Raw genomic sequence first — 25,781 nt, 5'->3', positions numbered from 1 at the left:
CCGGGAGGCGGAGGTTGCAGTGAGCTGACATCACACCATTGCACTTCAGCCTGGGCAAAAAGAGGGAAACTCTGTCTCAAAAAAAAAAAAATAAAAAAATAAAATTATTCTGCCAAACTCTGCTTTTTTTTTTTTTTTTTTTTTTTTGAGACAGAGTCTCACTTTGATGCTCAGGCTGGAGTTTAGTGGTGCGATCTTGGCTCACTGCAACCTTTGCCTCCTGGGTTCAAGTGATTCTCCTGCCTCAGCCTCTCGAGTAGCTGGGATTGCAGGCGTGTGCCACCATGCCCAGCTAGTTTTTGTATTTTTAGTAGAGATGGGGTTTCTCCACGTTGGTCAGGTTGGTCTCGAACTCCTGACCTCAGGTCATCCTCCCGCCTTGGCCTCCCAAAGTGCTGGGATTGCAGGTGTGAGCCAATGCGCCTGGCCTGAAAGAGTTTTGAAAGATGTTGAATTATTGGTTGATTTTTTTTCTTTCAGCAATTTAAGTATGTCATCACACTGTCTTCTGGCCTTCATACTTTTTTTTCTTTTTCTTTTTTTTTGAGACAGGATCTCACTCTGTCACTCAGGCTGGAGTGCAGTAGCGCAATCTCAGCTCACTGCAGCCTCCGCCTCTTGTGTTCAAGTGATTCTCCTCTCTCAGCCTCCTGAGTAGCTGGGATTACAGGTGCCTGCCACAATGACCAGCTAATTTTTATATTTTCAGTAGAGATGAGGTTTCCCCACGTTGGCCAGGCTGGTCTCGAACTCCTGACCTCAAGTGATCCACCCAACTCAGCCTCCTAAGGTGCTGGGATTATAGGCATGAGCCACCACGCCTGGCCATTTCTTTATTGATAGTCTCATTTTATTCATACATTGTTTTCCTGGTTTCCTTTAGATTTTTGTCCATGTTTTCCCTTAGCTCTTTGAGCATATTTAAGACAATTATTTTAAAGTCTTTGTCTAGTAAGTCTCAGATCTGGACTTTCTCAGGAATAATTCCTTTCAATTTGTTATTTTTTTTCCCCTTTCAATGGGCCATAATTTCCTTTTTCTCTGTATACCTTGTGATTTTTCTTGTTAAAAACTGGACATTTGAATATTTGTAATGTGATAAATTTGGATGTCAGATTCTCCCACTGTCCCAGGGTTTGCTGGTTTGTTGTTTGTTTTATTGTTAAAGACCGTAGTAGTTTTGGCTTAATGACTTTCCAAAACTATTCTTGCAAAGACTATATTACTTGTCGCATGTGGTCACTGAAGTCTCTATTCCTTAGCTTGTGTTCAGCTAGTGTTTTGACAGATTTTCTTGAATACCAGGAGCTAAAAAAGCAAGCAAACCAACCAAACAAAAAATCTTTCCCTCGCTCAGTCTTTGCAGATTGGCCCTGTGCTGGAGCACTCTTTCAACATTTAACCCAGCTTGCCCTGAGCCTAGGGATCAGCTGAGCATAACTTAGGGTCTTCTCAGGTCTTTTCTGAGCATGCATCTTGCTGTGGGCATAACCCTGTGTTTATAAATCCCCCTATGCATGCAGGTGCTTCTAATTTCCCCAGGAAACTCTCCCCAGCTTTTGCTCCTGAGCCTTAGGCCGTCTATTGTGTGTTTTGATTGTAATCTTTGGAACAGACATCTGTGGTTTGTTAGTTTGGCTTGCAGTGTTTTTGAGCAGTGCCACCACTTTTCCAGCCTGAGTTCCGAGGCAGGAAGACCAGAGATGAGCACCTTGTCCTTCAGGTGGCTCCCAGACAGCTTAGAGCGGACATACACTATCATCTACAAATAAAGTCTGCTCTGCTCCCTCTGGAAGGAGGAATGAGAGTCTCATGCTGGGAGTGTGGGCTTCCCTCTTCCCACTACTGCTGTCACACAAGGGAGGGCAGTGGCAAGTGGGGCAAACGCAAGTCGAAATATCAAAAGCTTTTGATCATTTTGAAGTTGTCTTTCTTCTTGATTCAGCATTCACTGGACTACCGTAAACCTTTGACTGTTTCCCAGAGTTCTGACAAAGTTGTATCTGACAGTTTCTGCTTGTTTTTTGATGTTTCTGTGGGGAACGCGGGCTTGGAACTGTCTACTTTGTCATTTTGCACTGATCTTGCCACTCTTAACCATCATGTGAACAAGCCAGAGGTAGCCTGAAAGGTGAGAGGCACATGGCTCAGTCACCCTCATGGCCTAAACTGTCAGCCGACCAACCTCCAGCTGTGAGTGAGGTTATCTGTTCCAGTTTCCTTTCTTCTTTTCTTTTTTCTTTCTTTCTTTCTTTTTTTTTTTTGAGATGCAGCTTCTGTCTCATTGCCCAGGCTAGAGTGCAATGGTGTGGTCTTGGCTCAATGCCATCTCTGCCTCCCGGGTTCAAGCAATTCTGCTGCCTCAGCCTCCCAAGTAGCTGGGATTACAGGCTCACGCCACCACGCCTGGCTAATTTTTTGTATTTTTTTTAGTAGAGATGGGGTTTCACCATGTTGGCCAGGCTGGTCTTGAACTCCTGACCTCAGGTGATCCACCTGTCTCAGCCTCCCAAAGTGCCGGGATTACAGTCATGAGCCACTGCACCCAGCCGTGTTCCAGTTTTCGATTGCTGTGTAAGAAACCATCCGAGAACTCAGTGGCATAAAACAGCAATCATTTTTAATATGCTCATGGTTTTTGTGGGTCTGAAGTTTGGACAGGGCATAGTGGGGATGGTTTGTCTCTGATCCATGACATCTAGGGCTTAAGGTGGGGAGACTTGAAGAGTGGGGGAGTGCCTCCAGTGGCTGGGAGCTGGTATCTGGTGGCTGGGATTATCTGGTAGCTTCTTCATTCACATGTCTGGTTCCTGGGCTGGGATGACTCAAATGATTGAAGTCTCTTGGGGGATCGATCTCTTTCTCTCTCTCTCTCGCTCTCCTCCTGTAGCTTCAGGGACTTTCCATGTGGTCTCTCCACATGACATCTCCATCACTGCAGTCTCAGGGTAGTTGAACTTTTTACATGTTGTCTCAAGGCTCTGGAAGTGAATCTTCCTGCAAACAAGACAGAAGCTTGCATGATGTGTTATGATCTAGCCTTGGAGGTTATATAATATCACTTCTGCTCTACTCTATTGGTTGAAGCAATCCAAGCCTGCTCAGATTCAAGGGGAGGGGATAGTGAGTTTGCCTCTCAAGAAGAGCTTTGTTAAAGTATTTTCAGCTACATTTTCAAGTTGCCAAAGCATTCAAGAGTAGCCAGATTTAGCCAATCCATCAGCTGACCACAGATGCATAAATGAGCCCAGCTATACCCAGAAGAACTTTCCAGCTGAATCTGACCCAAATTGGTGAACCACACAATCATGTACCAAATAAATTATTAGCCCAAGCCATTAATTTTGGGAGCATTTTGTTATGCAGCAATAGCGAACTGATACATCCTTGTAGGTGTATGCCTACAAGCATACTCACTAAGCCTAATATTGGCCGACCACATCCAGGACCCCTACACAGTGATGCAAGCCAGCAGATTTATCCAGTGACTCTTCTATGTCTGTGTTCACCCCACAGTTTATCACCCCTGGTTTTACCTGTCATGACAATTACACCCATCCACTGCTCCTTGACTATTCTGTGAATAGAATTCCTGAACGTAATAAAAAATTGTTGAATTGAAGCAATCTCTAGCTATTCCACTCTAAGACCACATAGCTTACCCCATTGAATCTTTCATTTCACCAATATTAATTTATCACCTACTATATGCCATTCACTCTTTTTTCAGTTTGTTTTTTGAGACAGAGTCTCACTCTGTCACACAGGCTGGAGTGTAATGGCATGATCTCAGCTCACTGCAACCTCTGCCTCCTAGGTTCAAGTGATTCTTGTGTCTCAGCCTCCTGAGTAGCTGGGATTACAGGTGCACGCCACCATGTCTGGCTAATTTTTGTATTTTTAATAGAGACAGGGTTTCACCATGTTGCCCAGGCTGGTCTTGAACTCCTGACCTCAGGTGATCCACCTGCCTCAGCCTCCCAAAGTGCTGGGATTACAGGTGTGAGCCACTATGCCCAGCCTCCATTCACTCATTAAAACACTGGAGAAGTGATGGTTAACATGAACCAAAGTGTTCCTGCTCTAATAGACTTATATATTTATATGCTGGTGGGGTGTAGTAAGTAGCTTCTGAAATGGTCCCCACCTCCTAGTATTCATGGCCTTCTGTGATCCTCTACTGGTGATTATCTTGCTTCTAACCAATAGAATACTTCATCATTGAGAAACTGTCACTTCTGAGATTATATTCCAAAATATTCTGACTTCTATCTTGCTAGCAGACTTTTCCCCTTGATGGCTTTGATGAAGCAAGTTGCTATGTTGGAGAAACCCATGTGGCAATAAGCTGAGGGTGTCCTCTGGCCAACAGCCAGCTAGGAACTGAGATAATTTGCCCAACAGCACAAAAGGAACTGATTCTGCCAACAGTCACATGAGTGAGCTAGGAAGTGAATCCTTCCCCAGTTGAGCCTTCAGATGAAACCTTAATCCTGGCCATCTCCTTGATTGCCGTCTTATGAGAGACCCCAGGCAAAGGATCCAGGCAAGTCATGCCCAGATTCCTGACCCATAAAAACTATAAAATAATAAATGTATGTTGTTTAAGCTGGGCCATTTGTGGCAATTTGTTTGTGGCAATCAATAACTATTAGGTGTGGGGTGGGGGGAGGCGGAGTTGAAACAAACATAGTAATAATTTGGAAATTAATCACAGAGTGATACAAATCATCTGAAATAGGAAACCTGAACAGATTAGATATTATAGGAGCCCATCTGTGGTCAGCTTGCAGGCTGACTAGATCTGGCAACTTTGTGGATGCTTTGGCAATTTGAAAACAGCTGAAAAGAAGGTAATTAGAGATCTAATAAGAAGAAAGGCACCAGGCCCAGATAGTTTTATGGGCTCACCCTGGTTGTCTCCATACCCTACCTTGTGGCCATTTAGTTTCTTTCTTTTTTCTTTTTTTTTTGAGACAGGGCCTCATGGTGTCACACAGGCTGGAGTACAGTGGCACAATCTTAGCTTGCTGCAACCTCCACCTCCCAGGCTCAAGCCATCCTTCCACCTCAGCCTCCTGAGTAGCTGGAACTACAGGCATGCACCACCATGCCTAGCTAATTTTTGTATTTTTAGTAGAGATGAGGTTTCACCATGTTCCCCAGGCTGGTCTCAAACTCCTAAACTCAAGAGATCCACTCGCCTTGGCCTCCCAAAGTGCTGGGATTACAGGCATGAGCCGCTGCACCCAGCCATGGCCATTTAGTTTCTACAACCAGTTTGGACTTTCACTCTTGGCTGATTGGAACTTGGTTGGTTTCTCACTTAGTTCCTGCCTTGGCTCCTTCCTCTGACTTTGCTACCCAGTGTAACCTCACTGGCTCCAGCTCTGGAGAAACTTGAAAGACAGTCCAGCTGTGACTGTCTTTCCTTCTTGCCTTCCCAGTAGCAGGAGTGAATTTGGATAGTAAAGACTTGTAAATGACAGGGACATTTTGAGGGCAGGCAGAAGAGGAGCCCATGAAGGAGATGGAGAAGGAGCGGTCAGGCAGACAGGAGGAGAACCAGGAGGTGAGGCCATCAGGGAAGTCTTGGGAGAGAGGAGTTTCAAGGAGGAGGGAGGGAGTGGCCACCCCATTAATGAGTGGAAACAAGATAGAAACAAGTCTGGTTGGCTTTCACAAAGGAACGGTAGTTACTCTCCTTGGTCATTTCAGGAAAGTGGTGGCAGGTGGGGCAGCCATCAGAGGGTTAGAGGGAGCAGATGAAGGCAGAAGTGACAACCCTTTTTCTTTTTCTTTCTTTCTTTCTTTTTTTTTTTTTAAAGAGTAATGATGTGATTTTTTTTAAACTTTAAGTTCAGGGGTATATGTGTGGGATGTGCAGATTTGTTATACAGGTGAACATATGACATGTACAGATTATTAGTTACTTTTCCTGATCCTCTCCCTCCTCACTCTCCACCCTGCAATAGGCCCCAGTGTGTGTTGTTCCCCGTTATGTGTCCATGTGTTCTCATCATTTAACTCCCACTTATAAGTGAGAACATGCGGTATTTGGTTTTCTGTTCCTGCATCAGTTTGCTAAGGATAATGGCCTCCAGCTTTATCCATGTCCCTGCAAAGGACATGATCTTGTTCTTTTTTATGGCTGCATAGTACTCCATTGTATATATGTACCACATTTTCTTTATCCAGTCTATCATTGATGGGTTGATTCCATGTCTTTGCTAGACAGCCCTTTTTCTTTTATTTCTTTCCTTTTGTAGAGACCGAGGTCTCACTTTGTCACCCAGGCTGGAGTGCAGTGGTGTGATCATAGCTCACTGCAGCCTCAAACTCTTGGGCTCAAGTGATCCTCCCACCTCAGCCTCCCAAGTAGCTGGGACTACAGCCACCACTCCCAGCGTTGTATATGGGTTCAGAAGATGGAGGAAGTGTGTGAGCCCAAGGGGCCAGGCAACCCTGGTGAGGCTGCCCCACCCCTTCTGTGGGATGTTGACAGTGAAACAGAAAAGCACCTCACTGAGGGCTACCACCACTCCATAAAAAAACTTTCACCCACCCTCCAATCGGATCACCCAATTGGATCACATGGGATCCAATTTTTCCAGTTCACTAAGGCAAGAACCCTGGGAGAGAGAAAGTCGTCTGTCCTTGCAATAAGGCAGAGCATCTAACTGAGCTGATGAACATCAGCCAATTGCGGACGGCAAAACTGAAAGAGCACGCTGTAACACATTCCCACGGGGCCCTCATGAGCTGTAAAGCATTCACCCCTAGACGCTGCCATGGGGTTGGAGCCCCACAACCTGCCTGTCTGCATGCTTCCCCTGGAGGTTTGAGCAGCGGGGCACAGAAGATGTGAGCCACACCCCCCGTCACACGCCCTGCAAGGGGGACAAGGGAACCTTTTCTGTTTCACTACCAACATCCCACGGAAGGGGTGGGGCAGCCTCACCAGGGTTGCCTGGCCCCTTGGGCTCGCACACTTCCTCCATCTTCTCCTCTCTACTCCCTTCTCTCTCCATCCCCTCTCTGGACTGTGGGTTTTTATAACCCCATGCATTGCAGCCCCTCAGAATCACATCTCTCCAAGCCAGGAAGAAGAATAAGGAACAGGATGGAGACACACCCTTCCTGAAAAGTGGGGTGAGAGATGAAGCACCTGACACAGAGGAGAGTCATTTAGAGGGCAGGCAGAAACTATCCAGTAAATTCCAGTGCCAAAAGACTCTATCTGAACCCATATACAACGCTGACACCTTGAGCCTCACTTTTTGGGAGTCTCAGTTTCCTCAGCTGTGAAATGAGACAACTACACTGCCTCACACTGTTATTGTGAGTTTTATTTATTTTTTATTATTTGTTTATTTATTGAGATGGAGTCTCGCTCTGTCTCCCAGGCTGGAGTGCAGTGGTGTGATCTCAGCTCACGGCAACATCTGCCTCTCGGGTTCAAGTGATTCTCCTGCCTCAGCCTCCAGAGTAGCTGGGATTAAAGGCACGCACCACTATGCCTGGCTAATTCTTGTATTTTTAGTAGAGACGGGGTCTCACCATGTTGACCAGGATGGCCTTGAACTCCTGACCTCAGGTGGGTCCACCTGTTTTGGCCTCCCACAGTGCTGGGATTACAGGTGTGAGCCACCATGCCTGGCCATGTTACTATGAGTTTTAATACAGTGCACTAGTAATAGGTATAAATTGCCTATTTGAATGATGGATACTCAGTAATTACAGCACTTAAGATTTATCACGCTGGGCCCGGTGGCTCATGCCTGTAATCCCAGCACTTTGGGAGGCTGAGGTGGGCAGACCACTTGAAGTCAGGAGTTCGAGACCAGACTGGCCAAAATGGTGAAACCCTGTCTCTACTAAAAAACACAAGAACGAGGACTGGGAAAGCTGAGACACCGCCGGGTTGGAAGTGCTGCAGCCCCGGGAATGAGTATGTTCGAGTGAAAGGAGACCATGTGATTGGCATAGTGACAGCTAAATCTGGAGATACATTCAGAGCTGATGTTGGAGGGAGTGAGCCAGCTTCTTTGTTTTACTTGGCGTTTGAAGGTGCAACTAAAAGAAACAGACCATATGTGTAGGTTGGAGATCTCATCTATGGCCACTTTGTGGTTGCTAATAAAGACATGGAACTAGAGATGGTGTGTATTGACAGCTGAGGACGAGCCAATGGAATGGGTGTCATTGGACAGGATGGTCTGCTTTTTTTTTTTTTTTTTTTTGAGATGAAGTTTTGCTCTTGTTGCCCAGGCTGGAGTGCAATGGTGTGATCTTGGCTCACCGCAACCTCCGCCTCCCAGATTCAAGCAATTATCTTGCCTCAGCCTCCTGAGTAACTGGGATTACAGGCATGCGCCACTGCACCCAGCTAATTTTGTATTTTTAGTAGAGACGGGGTTTCTCCATGTTGGTCAGGCTGGTCTCGAACTCCCGACCTCAGATGATCTGCGTGCCTCTGCCTCCCAAAGTGCTGGGATTACAGGCGTGAGCCACCGTGCCTGGCCCTGATGGTCTGCTTTTTAAAGTGACTTTGGGCTTAGTTAGAAAGCTATTAACTCCAGGTTGTGGAATCATACAGGAAGTGGGAAAACTTTATTCCCTGGAGATAGTATTTGGAATGAATGGAAGAATATGGGTCAAAACAAAAACCATCCATCAAACTTTAATTTTGGCAAACATTTTGGAAGCTTGTGAACACATGATGTCAGATCAAAGAAAACAAATCTTCTCCAGACTGGCAGAAAGTTGATACAGGTGGATTTTTTTTTTTTTTTTTTTTTTTTTTTTTGAGACAGAGTTTTGCTCTTGTCGCCCAGGCTGAAGTGCAATGGTTTGATCTCGGCTCACTGCAACCTCTGCCTCCGGGTTCAAGCAATTCTCCTGTCTCTGCCTCCTGAGTAGCTGGGATTACAGGTGTGTGCCACCATGCCTGGCTAAATGTTGCATTTTTAGTAGAAATGGGGTTTCACCATGTTGGCCAGGCTGGTCTTGAACTCCTGACCTCAGGTGATCCACCTGCCTTGGCCTTCCAAAGTGTTGGGATTACAGGCATGAGCCACTGAGCCCCGCCTAGGTGGACTTTTTTTTTTTTTTTTTTTTTTTTTTTTTTTGAGACAGTCTTGCTCTGCCACCAGGCTGGAGTGCAGTGGCATGATTTTGGCTCACTACAATCTCCACTTCCTGGGTTCAAGCGATTCTTCTGCCTCAGCCTCCTGATTAGCTGGGGCTACAGGTTTATGCCACCACGCCCAGCTAATTTTTGTATTTTTAGTAGAGACGGGGTTTCACCATGTTGGCCAGGATGGTCTTAATCTCTTGACCTCGTGATCTGCCCGCCTTGGCCTCCCAAAGTGCTGGGATTACAGGTGTGAGCCACCGCACCTGGCTCTAGGTGGACTTTTTTAATGGGTCAGTTGAGCCAAGAAACTATGGGTTTCCTGGGGAAAACTTTTTTCAGGTGAACCTTTCCCCATTTAAATACTCAGGAGACAAGGTATGAATGTACATATTATCTTATTAGAGTCCTAAATAAAATATTTTTATAAGTAAGTTACTGGTTTTCACCCATGCTTTTGTGGGAGAGAAAATCATGCAGAATCATGATGTATTTTTTTTTGTTCTGTACAACAAAGTTTGCTAAAACATTAAAAAAATAAAAAATACAAAAACTATCTGGGCATGGTGATGCATGCCTGTAATCTCAGCTACTGGGGAGGCTGAGGCAGGAGAATTGCTTGAACCCAGGAGTCAGAGGTTGCAGTGAGCAAACAGCCTGGGTGATAGAGTGAGTGAGACTCCATCTCGAAAAAAGATTTATCAGACATTGTTCTACATGCTCTACATAACATAGCTAGTTTAATCCTGAGAGGAGAAGAGTGGTCAAGAGCAGGCCTGAAGCTCACAGCTGGCTTTGGTGTTGCTAGGAGCTGCCCTGGGCTTCCTAGGTGGCCAGAGTGTTCTAGGAGCTGGTCTGGTCTTCCAGCTGATCATGGCATGGCTAGAACTTTACCCAGCACTTCCACCTAGGTTATGATGTTGTCCTCTTGAATATAAACAATTTCACAGAACATCAACATCAAGCAAAAACGTTTGTAGCTGTAAATGTGTACATAGCAAGACAAAAGTGAGATCACTCTGTAAGCATGTCTGAACACAGACAAAATGTGAGCACTGTCCAAACCAGACATAACCAAACATTCCTATATTCTGGCTAATTGGAACAACCTTTCTCTCTTAGTCTGTTGGGGCTGCTCTAATAAAACATCATAGGCTGGGTGGATTATAAACAGTAGAAATTTATTGCTCACACTTCTGGAGGCTAGAAAGAGCAAGTCTCGATAAAAGATTTATCAGACATTGTTCTACATGCTCTACATAACATAGCTAGTTTAATCCCGAGAGAAGAAGAGTGGTCAAGAGCAGGCCTGAAGCTCACAGCTGGCTTTGGTGTTGTTAGGAGCTGCCCTGGCCTTCCTAGGTGACCATGGTGTTCTAGGAGCTGGTCTGGTCCTGCAGCTGATCATAGCATTGCTAGAACTTTGCCCAGCACTTCCAGCTATCAAGGTGCTGGTACATTTGGTGGCTGGTGAGAGCCTGCTTCCTGATTCATAGATGGTGCCTTCTTGCTGTGTTCTCACATGGTGGAAAGGGTGAAGGAAGCTTTCTAGGGTTTCTTTTATGAGGACACTAATGAAGGCTCTGACCTCATGACCTAATTACTAACCCCAAATTACCACCTCCTAATAACATCATCTTAGGGGTTAGGATTTCAACATATGAATTTCAGAGGTAAACACTCAGCTCATAGCACTCTCTTTTATCAATCATGGCTTTAGCCTCAGTCTAGTCTTTACTCCTTGCATATAAGATTTATTTGTTCTTCAGTGGCTCATGCGTGTAATCCCAGCACTTCAGAAGGCCGAGGTGGGTGGATCACTTAAGGTCAGGAGTTTGAGACCAGCCTGGCCAACATGGTGAAACCCTGTCTCTACAAAAATACAAAAAATTACCTGGCCGTGGTGGCAGGAGCCTGTAATCCCAGCTACTTGGGGGGAGGAGGTTGCCATGAGCTGAGATTGCCTCACTGAACTCCATCCTCGGCAAGAGAGCAAGACTCTGTCTCAAAAAAAAAATTAAATTAAAAGACTTATTAGAATGCCTAGTCATAAGATTACCCCCTCTTCCTGATAGCATCCAACCTAGAATCCTCCCCTAAAGAACTTAACACAAGCCCCAATCATATAATAAGTCATTTATTACACTCTCCTACTGAGATACCCCATGGTTATGAAACTAGCCCCATCATCCCATAGAACTTATATTAATAGTTTCTTTCAATAAACATAGAATTGACTTGAGAAAGTTACATTTGTCTTATCTGAGTTCCTTTCCCAGGAAACGAACCATCAGGACTCCCAGATAGTATCAAGGAGCTGAAACTTAGCAGATCACACCTGGACAATGAGATGTCAGACCCCTCACCCATCATGATTGCCCAATTGACGATCTGCTTCCTGTTGACCAACTTCTCTTCCTTACCCCTACCTAACTGTTGTTTTCTCACATATTGTCACATTTCTTCCCTGCTATATAAACCCCTAATTTTTAATTAACTAATTTATTTTTGAGATGGAGTTTCGCTCTTGTTGCCCAGGCTGGAGTGTAATGGCACGACATCAGCTCATCGCAACCTCTGCCTCCCAGGTTCAAGCAATTCTCCTGCCTCAGCCTCCTGAGTAGTTGGGATTACAGGCATGTGCCACCACCCCTAGGCTAATTTTGTATTCTTAGTAGAGATGGGGTTTCTCCATGTTGGTCAGGCTGGTCTCGAACTCCCGACCTCAGGTGATCCGCCTGCCTCGGCCTCTCAAAGTGCTGGGATTACAGGCGTAAGTCACCACGTCCAGCCTAAACTCCTAATTTCAATCAGTCAGGGAGATAGATCTGAGACTGATCTCCCATCTCCTTGGTTGGCACCTAATTAAAGCCTTCTTCATGGGCAATACTAGTGTCTCAGTGATTGGCTTTCTGTGTGGCAAGCAGCCGACTGAACTGGTGTTTCAGTAACAGCTACCCGTGGTGTGTATTCTCCTTCGCTGTGACAAGTAATACATTGAAATTTTTTCAACTGGCTGGGCATGGTGGCTCATGCCTGTAATTCCAGCACTTTGGGAGGCCGAGGCAGGCATATCACTTGAGGTCAGGAGTTCAAGACCAGCCTGGCCAACATGGTGAAACGCTGTTTTTACTAAAAATACAAAAACTAGCCGGGCATGGTGGCACGCATCTGTAGTCCCAGCTACTCAGGAGGCTGAGGCAGGAGAATTGCTTGAACCTGGCAGGTGGAGGTTGCAGTGAGCCGGATTGCACCACTGCACTCCAGCCTGGGCAACAGAGCGAGACTCCGTCTCAAAGAAAAAGGAAAAGAGAGGGGAGGGGAGAGGATGGGAGGGGAGGGGAGGGGAGGCAAAGACATTTGTTCAACCACATGTGTGATTCTGGTGTTTTTTGACTGGGTGGGTGAGGGAGACACTAACAGTCTTCACAATAACACTACAAGAAAAGCACAGTTATTATCCTGCTTTACAGAGGAGAAAATTGAGACACAGAGAGGTTAACAATTGACCATGGTCATACAGCTTGTAAGTGGTAGGGCTGGGATTCGAACCTAGGCAAGTTGACACAAGTCCATGCTTAATCAGTACACTAAGCAGACCCAAATTTGAGGACAAGAGGAATTTATATGGGAGGCAGTTGCGGAAAATGCCAGTGGTGGGAAGGGGTTCTTTATTTCTTCATGTGGACTTTTTTTTTTTTTGAGACAGGGTCTCACTTTGTCGCCCAGACTGGAGGGCAGTGGTGTGATCTCAGCTCACGTCAACGGGGTTCAAGTGATTCTCCTACCTCAGCCTCCCAAGTAGCTGGGACTACAGGCACACGACACCACACCCAGCTAATTTTGTATTTTTTGGTAGAGACGGGGTTTCATCATGTTTAGCCAGGCTGGTCTCAAGCTCCTGACCTCAGGTGGGCCTTGGCCTCTCAAAGTGCTGGGATTACAGGCAAGAGTCATCACGCCTGGCCTTTCATATGGATTTGAGTTACTGTCTAGTGTTCTTTCATTTCATCCTGAAGGATTCCCTTCATTTCCTCTATTGTAGTAAAATACACATAACATAAACTTTACCATTTAAAGCATACCATTTAAAGTATACAATTCAGTGACATTTAGTACATTTACAATGTTGTGCAACCATCCCTACTACCTAGTTCCAGAACATTCTCATCTCCCCAAAAGGACACCCCATAGTTATTTATTTATTTATTTATTTATTTATTTATTTATTTATTTATTTTGAGACGGAGTCTCACTCTGTCGCCCAGGCTGGAGGGCAGTGGTGCAATCTCGGCTCACTGCAAGCTCCGCCTCCCGGGTTCATGCCATTCTCCTGCCTCAGCCTCCTGAGTAGCTGGGACTACAGGTGCCTGCCACCATGCCTGGCTAATTTTTTGTATTTTTGGTAGAGACGGGGTTTCACCGTGTTAGCCAGGAAGGTCTTGATCTCCTGACCTCATGATCCACCCGCCTCGGCCTCCCAAAGTGCTGGGATTACAGGCATGAGCCACTGCGCCCGGCCTATTTATTTATTTTTGTTTTTGTTGAGAGAGGGTCTTCTTCTGTCACCCAGGGTGACTGCAGTGGCACAATCATGGTTGAGTGCAGCCTCAGCCTCCTGGGCTCAAGCAATCTTCCCACCTCTGCCTCCTGAGTAGCTGGGGACGTGGGCATGTGCCACCGTGGTCAGCTAATTTTCAAATGTTTTGTAGAGATGGGGCCTTGCTATGTTGCCTAGGCTGGTCTCAGACTCCTGGCCTCAAGTAATCTTCCTCCCCTGGCCTCCCAAGGTACTGGGATTACAGACGTGAGCCACCATGCCCAGCCCCCCATACTTACTAAGCAGTCACTCCACATTCCTGCCTTCCTGCAGCCTTGGAAAACCCTAATCTGTTTTGGCCTCCCAAAGTGCTGGGATTACAGACGTGAGCCACTGTGCCCGGCTAACAAATTGTTTTCTGCCCATGCATTTATGTATTGTATGTGACGCATTTGTGCTAGAATAGCAGAGTTGCAGCAGAGAGCCCTCGAGGCCCAAAAATATTTACTATTTGGCCCTTTTCAAATGTTTGCCAACCTTTGGTCTAGAAGGTTACATTCTGGAGCAAACAGATCATAGACAGATAAAGAAAGGCAGATGCTAAAATCAGCCGGGCGTGGTGGCAGGCACCTGTAGCCCCAGCTACTCGGGAGGCTGAGGCAGGAGAATGGTGTGAACCCGGGAGGTGGAGGTTGCAGTGAGCCGAGATCGCGCTACTGCACTCCACTGGGCGATAGAGCAAGACTCCGTCTCAAAAAAAAAAAAAAAAAAAAAGAAAGAAAGAAAAGCAGATCCTGAATCTGGTCCCCTCCACTCACCCGCGCTTCCCAGTTATGAAAGGCAACACAATCTCCACATCTTCTTTCTTGGGTTTTGGGTTGGTTTGAGTTGGGGCCACGAAGGGAAGTGAAAATGATGTGGTCCTCATTGCTTTCACAGTTTCAAACCCAACTCCAGTGTTTATCAGCTGATGGGCTGTGGGCAGGTGACTCATCTCTGAGCCACTATGCTCATAGGTAAAATGAGAATGAGGGCGGCTGTGTTACCGGATTCTTTGAGGTCATATCCAAAAAACACATAGCACAAAATAAATGCTCATGAGATGCAGAGGCCAGGTGTGGTGGCTTATGCCTGTGATCCCAGCACTTTGTTTTTCTGTTTGTTTTGTTTTGAGACAGAGTCTTGCTCTGTCACCCAGGCTGGGTGCAGTGGCAAGATCTCGGCTCACTGCAAACTCCACCTCCCAGGTTCAAGCGATTCTGCTGCCTCAGGCTCCCAAGTAGCTGGGATTACGGGCTCCCGCCACCAAGCCCGGCTAATTTTTGTATTTTTAGTAGAGATGGGATTTTGCCATGTTGGCCAGGCTGGTCTCGAACTCCTGACCTCGGGTGATCCACCTGCCTCGGCCTCCCAATGTGCTGGGATTACAGGCGTGAGCCGCTGCACCCGGCCACTGTAATCCCAGCACGTTGGGAGGCCAAGGTGGGAGGATCGCTTGAGTCCAGGAGTTCCAGACCAGCCCAGGAAACATAGTGAGACCCTGTCTTTACAGACAAAAAATTAGCTGGGTGTGGTGCCGTGAGCCTGTGGTCCCAGCTGCTCAGGAGCCTGAGGCAGGAGAATCCCTCAAGCCCAGCAGGTTGAGGCTGCAGTGAGCTGAGACTGCCAAAGATTGCGCCACTGCACTCCAGCCCAGGTGACAAAGCGAGACTCGGTCTCAAGAAAAAAAAAAAAGAAAAGATACAAAAAAAAACAAGAATAAACCCTATTGAATTGGAGGTACTGAGGTGAATTCATGGTTTTCAAAATATAAAGATAAATATAGAAATAAGTTTGTGTGTGTGTGTGTGTGTGTGTGTGTGTGTGTGTGTTCCCATTTATCTACTAAGAGGACCTGGGAGCCACATACCCCAGTAACAATGGGCACACTTAACACCCAGATCATTTCTAACTGCCAATCTCCACCTAGCCCAGGGCTTTTTGGAAAAATGAGAGCAGCCTGGGCAACATAGCAAGACCCATTTCTACAAAAAATTTAAAAATTAGCCAGGCGTGGTGGCGTGCTCCTGTAGTCCTAGTTACTTGGGAGGCTGAGGCAGGGTTGGGGGGGACAAAAGCCTAGAACATCTAGTTAGGCCAGGAAGGAAGAAAAAACGATCAGCAAAAAACCAATAGGAATATGTCAAAAGGACCCAGAAGCCAGAGAGAAAAGCTTTCACTGGCCAAATTAAAGATAATTTAAGCATCGAAGGGGAAAAAAAAGAACGTCAGCAAAATGGCAGAGTAAAATTTGCCTTTCTACAAAAGCAATGAAAAAAACTGGCAAAATTTGACAGAATCAACATTTTCACAACTCTGGAAATTAACCAAAAGCTTACAGTAATTTGCAGAGCATTTAATTAAAAAAAAAAACACATAAAAAAACAGCAAGCTCTGTAGAATTTTAACTCACTCTAGTCTTATTCCTGGCTCTCCAGCTCAGAGGGTAGCCTTGAAAAATAACAGCCCACAATCTTGATACCATACGGAAAAGAACAGAGGTGCGGCTCCTTCAAAACCTCATTCAGGATCATTCAAGAAGAGGTGTGTGTGTGTGTGTGTGTGTGTGTGTGTGTGTGTGTGTGTGTGTGTGTTTGAGACAGAGTCTCGCTCTGTCGCCCAGGCTGGAGTGCAGTGGCGTGATCTCGGCTCACTGCAACCTCCTTCTCCTGGGTTCAAGCGATTCTCCTGCCTCAGCCTCCGGAGTAGCTGCGATTACAGGTGCCCGCCACCATGCCTGACTCATTTTTGTGTTTTCAGCAGGGACAGGGTTTCACCATGTTGACCAGGCTAGTCTCAAACTGCTTACCTCAAGTGATCCACCCACCTCGGCCTCCCAAAGTGCCGGGATTACAAGCGTGAGCCGCCGCACCCAGCCAAGAAGAGTCATTTATTGACCTATTTATTGGTACTCTGGAAGACCCTGCTCTGAAAGACCTGACCTCACTTGAACTTGCCGGATGCTAAACATTTCTCCCCAGGGGCTATTTGTTAAATGTTTTAACATTGCAGCTGCCTGTGGCAATACTTAACAGTTGGGGAAATAATAGCCTAACTAAAAATCTTAGAAGGAAAAGCGCCAGGCGCGGTGGTTCACGCCTGTAATCCCAGCACTTTGGGAGGTCGAGGCGGGAGGATCACTTGAGGTCAGGAGATCGAGACCATCCTGGCTAACACGGTGAAACCCCGTCTCTACTGAAAATACAAAAAATTAGCCGGGTGTGGTGGCGGGCGCCTGTAGTCCAAGCCAGGAGAATGGTGTGAACCCAGGAGGCGGAGCTGGCAGTGAGCCGAGATCGCGCCACTGCACTCCAGCCTGAGCCACAGAGCGAGACTCCGTCTCAAAAAAAAAAAAAAAAAAAATCTTAGAAGGAAAAATGAAGACATTAGATGTTCGGAGGGACTTTTGAAAAATTCTGACATATTTCTGGGGATATGGAAGGCCACATGCTTAGGAAAGACCTGAGACAGCCCTAAGCTCACACCGCTGGCCGACTTCGAGGCTCTGTGTAAGCAGGAAGTGAGAGCTAAAGCACAGTTGTAAATTTCCTGGGTGAATGTTGAAGGTGTGTCCCTAATAAGTACACAGAGCTCCCTGGCAAAGACTGGCAGACTTCCGATTCCAGACATTCAAGGAAATCTCTGTCCAACCACTAGCTAACCATGAAGCTAACTGAGCAAAGACTTCAGTAGCCATGACAGAGAATATAGACTTTACAGAAGTAGTTTAGAAAAGTCATTTAACAGGCCTGGCACAGTGGCTCATGCCTGTAATCCCAGCACTTTGGGAGGCTGAGACAGGTGGATCACCTGAGGTCAGGAGTTCGAAACCAGCCTGACCAACATGGTGAAACCCTGTCTCTACTAAAAATACAAAAATTAGCCAGGTGTGGTGGGGTGTGCCTGTAATCCCAGCTACTCAAGAGGCTGAGGCAGGAGAATCGCTTGAACCCAGGAGGCAGAGGTTGCAGTAAGCCGAGATCACGCCATTGCACTCCAGCCTGGGCGACAGAGCGAGACTCCACCTCAAAAAAAACTATTTTTATAGTGACAGGGTCTCACTATGTTGCCCAGGCTGAGCTTGAGCCCCTGGGCTCAAGTGATCCACTGACTTTAGCTTTCCAAAGTGTTGGGATTACAGGCATGAGCCATCACACTCGGCCAGCTGTTGGCATTTAGAATAGTCTTTCTAGCAAGACCAATATTCCAGGACCATAAAAGCTGACTGAATATCTGTTCTAGGATGAGGGATAGGCTCCAGGGATTCCTTTCTTCCCTGGAAGGTTGACTCTTGTGTGTTGGGGAGTGGGGCAGGGGGGTGGGCTGGGGCCAAGGGCCAGGGAGGACAATTTGGTCCTGACTCTCTTATTTGGGGTCTTTATGGATCTGCTCTAACACCAGCCAGTTAGAGCCAGGAGACTGCAAGCTGGGACCTGTGCATTGATCAGGTATGCCTGAGGCCAATGGTGAAGGGAGGATGGACCCTTTGAATCCAGTTATTTGGCTCTCTGGGCTCCTGCCCTGAGGTTCCCTCCAGCCCTGCTGCCCCAGCATCTAAGCCTGGAGTACCAGGGGCTCGAGGGCATGCGTGAGCCATGGACAGGATCCTGGGGAAGTTCCAGCTTAACCTGGGGGCCTCTTCCTTCTGCCCCAGCCACAGCCGGTACTTACTCAGCTCCACCCCCAGGAAGAGACTCCTGGGCTTCTCCTGTCCACCTGTGCTTCCATTGTACATTTGTCACTACAACCTGGAAGAGGCTCTGCCGTTGAGGTTGTCAGTCAGCCTGGAAGTCAATCCTGTCAGTTCGTCTCTGTTGCTGTTCAGTGAGTCAGAGATCTCCACTTGATCATCAGTAAGTTAGACTAGATCTGTCTGTGGATCTTCCAAATTGCCACTTAACCCAGCTCAGCAAGCAGTTAGGCCACCAGGTACGCATTTCGACTTCCATCCCCCACCTGGGAGTCTTTCTCAGCTAGTTACTCTTTGAGCTAGGATGCATGATGGCCTGCAAAGATATCCAAGTCCTGGCCAGGCATGGTGGCTCACATGTGTAATCCCAGCAGTTTGGGAGGCTGAGGCGGGCGGATCACCTGAGGTCGGGAGTTCGAGACCGGCCTGACCAAGATGGTGAAACTCTGTCTCTACTAAAAATACAAAGTTAGCCAGGTGTGGTGGTGCATGTCTGTAATCCCAGCTACTCAGGAGGCTGAGACAGGAGAATCACTTGAACCTGGGAGGTGGAGGTTGCAGTGAGTTGAGATCATGCCATTGCACTCCAACCTGGGCAACAAGAGTGAAACTCCTTCTCAAAAAAAAAAAAAAAAAAGATATCCAAGTCCTAATCCCTGGATCCTATGAATGTCACCTTATATGGCAAAAAGAGACTTTGCAGATATGATTGCGATTTTAAGATAGAAAGATATTGTGTGCTAAATAATCTGTCTAGTCACTACCTCTGGTTCCTGGCAGGGGGCGTCTAAACTCTTGGAATTTTCCAAGTAATAGAAGTGTCTTAATGGCCAACAAACATATGGAAAAATGCTCAACATCACTAATGATCAGGGAGATGCAAATCAAAACCACAATGTGATACCACCTTACTCCTGCAAGAATGGCCATAATCAAAGACTCAAAAAATAATAGATGTTGGTGTGGATGTGGCAAACAGGGAACACTTTTACACTGCTGGTGGGAATGTAAACTAGTACAACCACTATGGAAAACAGCGTGGAGATTCCTTAAAGAACTAAAAGTAAAACTACCATTTGAGCCAGCAATCCCACTACTGGGTATCTATCCAGAGGAAAAGAAGTCATGATACAAAAAAGATACTTGTTCACACATGTTTATAGCAGCACAATTCGCAAGTGCAAAAACGTGGAACAAACCTAAATTTCCATCAGTCAACGAATGGGTGAAGAAACTGTGGCATACATATAAAATGGAATACTACTCAGCCATGAAACGGAATGAATTAATGGGATTTGCAGCAACCTGGATGGGACTGGAGACCATTATTCTAAGTGAAGGAACTCAGGAATGGAAAACCAAACATTGTATACTCTCACTCATAAGTGGGAGCTAAGCTATGAGGATGCAAAGGCATAAGAATGACACAGTGGATTTTGGGGGCTCAAGGGGAAAGGGTGGAAAGCTGACGGATAGAATACTACAAATTAGGTGCAGTGTATACTGCTTGGGAGATGGGTGCACCAAACTCTCATGAATCACCACTAAGGAATTTAATCATGTAACCAAATACATGTTCCCCCAAACCTATGGAAATAAAAAAAAAAAAGAAGCGTCTTTATTATTCATGGGGGCCCTGGACCATAACTGAGCTTATACCAAGGAGGTGACTCAGGATGGGGGCTGGTCATGCCAGAAACACCAACCACCAAGGTTGGGATTTTTAGCCACCTGACCTCCAGGAAGGGGAAGGGGCTGAAGGTGGGGTTCAATCATGTAGATAATGGTTGGATCAACCCCACCTACTTTTTAATCCTGCCTATTTTTAAATACAAAACTAGCCGGGCATGGTGACACACACCTATAATCCCAGCTACCAGGGAGGCTGAGGCACGAGAATCCCTTGAACCTGGGAGGTGGAGGATGCAGTGAGCTGAGATTGTGCCACTGCACTCCAGCCTGGGTGACAGAGTGAGACTCCATCTAAAAAACAAATAAATGAGGCCAGGCGCGGTGGCTCACACCTGTAATCCCAGCACTTTGGGAGGCTGAGGCGGGTGGATCACGAGGTCAGGAGATCAAGACCATCCTGGCTAACATGGTGAAACCCCGTCTCTACTAAAAATACAAAAAATTAGCTGGGCGTGCTGGTGGGCACCTGTAGTCCCAGCTGTTCCGGAGGCTGAGGCAGGAGAATGGCCTGAACCTGGGAGGTGGAGCTTGCAGTGAGCTGAGATCACGCCACTGCACTCCAGCCTGGGAGACAGCGAGACTGTGTCTCAAAAAAAATAAAGTAAATAAATAAATAAATAAATAAATAAAACAAAACAAAAAAGAAGAGCTCACCAGAGCCAGCAGCCTGAAACAAAAGTGCTGGTGGAAAGGTTTATGGGGTGCCAGTTTAGTCAGTCACCCCTGTGTAGGACACCTATGGAAAACTGTAGGGGGCCCTTAGGAGAATCATCTCCGCAAGCCATTAAGTTCCCAGGCCAGAGGGCATGACCTGCTCTGCGGCTTTACACAGAATGCTCTGGGCTGACACACTCCCTTGAAGTGTTGGAACGTGACCAGACATCCTAGCTCCTTGTAAAACCGGCCCCCACCAGCTGCAGCCCGATAAGTTAAAGACTGTCTTAGCAGTTAGACATATGCTTTTAGCTTAAAGGAAATTCATATAACCGCCACTGCTCTACATCTTTCCAATGACGTACGCTCCCGCTCCTTCACCGTTTCATCCCAGCTGCTTCTTAGATCAAAAGATTGTGCTCAATAAATCGTCAGGCAACCAGAACTCTGGGCGTTTTGCAGCCTTCACTCTAGCAACTGGCCCCCTGGGCCTGCTTTAAAATCTTAACTTGTCTTTTCTCATTCCTTTGTCGCCACCGGACTTCAGGTACCCACGGGTAGTGTTGAGGCTGGACCCCACCATCTGGCGCCCAACGTGGTATCTCCAAAACAACCGGGTGAAGGAATGCAGGAGCGTCGAAAATGAAGGACCGACAGATGGAGAACTCCCAAGGACGAAAAGTTTTTTTTTAATTTTTACTTATTTATTTATTTATTTATTTTTGAGACGGAGTCTCGCTCTGTCACCCAGGCTGGAGTGCAGTGGCTCGATGTCGGCTCACTGCAAGCTCCGCCTCCCGGGTTCACGCCCTTCTCCTGCCTCAGCTCCCAAGTAGCTGGGACTACAGGCGCCCGCCTCCACGCCCGGCTAACTTTTTGTATTTTTAGTAGAGACGGGGTTTCACCATGTTAGCTATGATGGTCTTGATCTCCTGACCTCGTGATCCGCCCGCCTCGGCCTCCCAAAGTGCTGGGATTACAGGCGTGAGCCACCGCGCCGGCCAACGAAAAGACTTTTAAGCTCTGCAGGTAAGCGGGGCGCTCGGAGAATTCCAGGGTAACAACAGGAAATTGTGGGTCAGGCTGAGAGTAGACATAATAATTATTTGAGTTTGGTGCGGCAGTTATTGTGCCACTGTGGTTAAACGTGAGCACCCAAAATCTTCTGTCCCTGTTTCAGCTAATAGAACAATATTCTCCTTGGTTCCCGGAACACAGCTCCATGGATTTGAAAGACTGGGAAAAAATAAGGGCTGACTTCAAACAGGCACAAAAAGAGGGTCAAGAAATTCCTTTCTCCGCTTGGTCTGTGTGGGCGGCAGTGAAAACAGCACGTGAGCCTTTGCAGACTGAGGAGGAACCAGCATTTGGAAATGAAGGAGACGAGTTTGACGGTCAGGAGAGTGCACCATCTAGCTCCAGTTTAAAAAAGGCGGAGAATCAGGAGGTTATATATGCTAACCAAACACATATGAAAGAGACCGTCCAACCTACCGCACCCTCAGGGGAAGCTCCGGAATGGCCACCCGCGCCTAAGCCTTGTGAATTGCGGGCATGGAAGCCTGAGACGCGGTTCGCCGCGCCCATTGTTGCAAAACCTGCCGTTAATTACGGTAAAGGGATGATTCAGGCTCAGCCACCAGTTAATTAAAATTCAGGCTCGCCCTGCCGTTCATTACGGGGAAGGAGCAATTTCCCTTAAAAATGGATGACCCAGCGCCCTGTCTGGGTCGAACAGTGGCCGATCCCTAAGGAAAAATTGGGGGCGCTTTATGAAATAGTTAAAGAATTACTAGAAAAAGGACATGTTTCACACCCACTTTTTCTCCTTGGAATTCCCCAGTATTTGTAATTAAGAAAAAGTCCGGCAGATGGCGCATGCCGACCGATTTACTAGCGGTCAACGCTGTAATTCAACCGATGGGAGCTTTACAACCAGGGCTCCCATCCCCCATTATAATCCCTAAAGACTGGCCGCTTGTTATTATAGATTTAAAAGATTGCTTTTTTTTTTTTTTTTTTTTTTTTTTTTTTTTTACAATTCCTTTAGCAGAGGCAGATTTCGAAAAATTTGGCTTTACCATCCCTGCAGTTAATAATAAAGAACCTGCAGCCAGATATCATTGGAAGGTTTTACCTCGGGGTATGTTAAACAGTCTCACAATTTGTCAGACTTTTGTAGGCAGAACTATCCAGCCTGTTAGAGATCAATTTCCAGATGTGTGCAGCAAAAAATAGAGGCCAACTTATTCAATGTTATTCATCTTTGCAAAAGGCAATTACAAACGCTGGATTGCTTAAAGCATCTGACAAAATTCAAACAACCACTCCTTTTCAGTATTTGGGAATGCAAGTACAGGATAGAGCATTAAGCCTCAAAAGGTTCAAATTAGAAAAGCTTCTTTAAAAACCTTAAATGGGCGGGGGGGCAGTGGCTCACGCCTGTAATCCCAGCACTTTGGGAGGCTGAGGCGGGCGGATCACAAGGTCAGGAGATCGAGACCATCCTGGCTAACACAGTGAAACCCCGCCTCTACTAAAAATACAAAAAATTAGCCGGGCGTGGTGGCTGCGCGCCTGTAGTCCCAGCTACTCGGGAGGCTGAGGCGGGAGAATGGCGTGAACCCGGGAGGCGGAGCTTGCAGTGAGCCGAGATCAAGCCACTGCCCTCCAGCCTGGGGGACAGAGCAAGATTCCGTCTCAAAAACAAAAACAAAAACCAAATAAACCTTAAATGATTTTCAAAAATTGTTAGGCGATATTAATTGGATTCGGCCCACCTTAGGAATTCCTACTTATGCTATGTCTAATCTCTTCTCAATACTGAGGGGAGACTCCAGTTTACACAGTAAAAGAGAACTAACACCCGAGGCCATGAAAGAGTTAAGAGTAATTGAAGAAAAAATTCCGCAAGCCCAGGTCAGTAGGATTGACCCAGACTTGCCTTTACAATTCATTGTTTTCCCTACTTCACACTCCCCAACGGGGATTATTGTTCAAAATAATGATTTAGTTGAATAGTCCTTTTTGCCACGTAATACCATAAAAACACTTACAGTATATTTAGATCAGATGGCAATTTTAATTGGACAGGCTCGTATGCGAGTTGTTAAACTTTGTGGCACTGAACCTAATAAGATTATAGTTCCTATAAATAAAAATCAGGTTAAACAGGCATTTATTAATTCAGTTACATGGCAAGTTTATTTAGCAGAATTTGTTGGATGTATTGATAATCATTATCCTAAAAATAAAACTTTCCAGTTCTTAAAATTAACTACATGGGTTCCTCCGAAAATTACTCGTGATGCCCCTTTGGAAGGAGCTGTGACTGGTTTTTTTGTTTTGTTTTTGTTTTTTGAAACGGAGTCTCGCTGTGTCGCCCAGACTGGAGTGCAGTGGCGCTATCTCGGCTCACTGCAAGCTCCGCCTTCCCGGTTCACGCCATTCTCCTGCCTCAGCCTCCCCAGTAGCTGGGACTACAGGCGCCTGCCACCACGCCCTGCTAATTTTTTTGTATTTTTAGTAGAGACGGGGTTTCACCGTGTTCTCAATCTCCTGACCTCGTTATCCGCCCGCCTCGGCCTCCCAAAGTGCTGGGATTACCTGCATGAGCCACCGCGCCCGGCGGGAGCTGTGACTGGTTTTACTAATGGGTCTGGTAAAGATGGAAAAGCGGCAGTCTGGTGGAGACCACGTAATCCAATCACTGGATCTAAATTTACTAGCATTCGGAGAGCTGAGGCTGTTCTGTTTATTTATTAAATTACTTTTACAGCCTTAAGTTCGCTCTGGAGCCCACTCTGTGTGCCTCTTTTTCTTCAACTTCAGCAATTGCCGGACCAAGGTACACATCCTATTTTTATTACACACGTTTGAGCCCACAGATCTCTGCCTGGCCCATTGGCTTGTGGCAAGATCAAGCAGACCTTCAGGTTATGACATCACTGCTTGACCAAGCCACCCAATCACATCAATTTTTCCACCAAAATTGGAGAAACTTATCTAAACAATTTCAACTAGCCCAGAGACTGGCTAAACAAATTATCCTACAATGCCCAGATTACCAGCTGACAGGCACGTTTCCTCCTTAAACAGGTGTTAACCCTAGAGGATTGGAACCTAATCAGTTGTGGCAAACAGATGTTAAACACATCCCTAAATTTTGGAAACTAAGATATGTACATATATCCATTGTTACCAACACTCATCTAATTATTGTACATTAGAAAGAGAAATAGAAAAAAATAAGAGAGAGACTAGAAGAGACAGAAATCAGAAAAAGATGCAAAAAGAAAGACTAAGGAAAGAAATGAAGTAGGAAGAAGGGAAAGGAAATATTAAGAAAGTTATAAAAATGTACCTTTAGTAAGGAAAGTTATAAAACATACAAAGTTAAGGCATGTTGGCTGGGTGTGGTGGCTCACGCCTGTAGTCCCAGCACTTTGGGAGGCCGAGATAGGCGGATCACAAGGTCAGGAGATCGAGACCATCCTGGCTAACATGGTGAAACCCCGTCTCTACTAAAACTACACAAAATTAGCTGGGCGTGGTGGCTGGCGCTTGCAGTCCCAGCTACTCGGGAGGCTGAGGCAGGAGAATGGCGTGAACCCGGGAGGCGGAGTTTGCAGTGAGCCGAGTTCTTGCCACTGCACTCCGGTCTGGGTGACAGAGCAAGACTCCGTCTCAAAAAGAAAAAAAAAAAAAAGAAGAAAGTTAAGGCATGTTGAAGATTGTCTGTGAAAGTCATGAAAAATGTTATAAAAAGGAATTTGTGCAAGAAAGGTTGTATAATTTTTGTTTTGAAGGTCTAAGCAAGTTTTAAAATGATAATTGTAAAAAATTGTGTGTAAACATTTGCTAAAGTTAAAAAGGTATCATCCAGTTTTTCTATAAACTAAACATTAAAATAAAGCACAAGTTTTTCTTAAAACACTAACCTGCTCTTTAAAGATGGTAAAAAGTCTCTCAGCACAGGCACCACTCCTAGAATTTCCAGTACCAGCCTGAAGACTACGTCCTCATCAAAT

At 46.2% G+C, this 25,781-nt stretch overlaps 1 long non-coding RNA gene and 1 pseudogene across 1 annotated transcript, besides 2 other annotated features; one reads left to right on the top strand and one right to left on the bottom strand.

Moving 5' to 3' along the window:
- Window positions 1–828: 828 nt before the first annotated feature.
- On the bottom strand, window positions 829–25,781 carry LOC124904628 (uncharacterized). The gene is made up of 2 exons (XR_007067118.1): window positions 25,692–25,781; window positions 829–2,997 (listed from the first exon to the last, which is right to left on the bottom strand). It is a non-coding gene; the product is annotated as an uncharacterized LOC124904628 (long non-coding RNA).
- Window positions 2,758–2,997: an enhancer, noted in NCBI's record as "active region_13902". NCBI's record gives its function as "activates an Ori minimal core promoter by ATAC-STARR-seq in GM12878 lymphoblastoid cells {active_cell/tissue: GM12878}" and the evidence as "EXISTENCE:reporter gene assay evidence [ECO:0000049][PMID:35858748]".
- Window positions 6,716–6,765: an enhancer, noted in NCBI's record as "active region_13901". NCBI's record gives its function as "activates an Ori minimal core promoter by ATAC-STARR-seq in GM12878 lymphoblastoid cells {active_cell/tissue: GM12878}" and the evidence as "EXISTENCE:reporter gene assay evidence [ECO:0000049][PMID:35858748]".
- Window positions 7,952–9,663, top strand: EXOSC3P2 (exosome component 3 pseudogene 2; annotated as a pseudogene).

This window comes from Homo sapiens, chromosome 19 (genome assembly GCF_000001405.40).
Source record: "Homo sapiens chromosome 19, GRCh38.p14 Primary Assembly".
NCBI classification, from domain to species: domain Eukaryota; kingdom Metazoa; phylum Chordata; class Mammalia; order Primates; family Hominidae; genus Homo; species Homo sapiens.
Note: the sequence above shows the minus strand (reverse complement) of the source record. Positions and strands in the feature narration are given on the sequence as shown.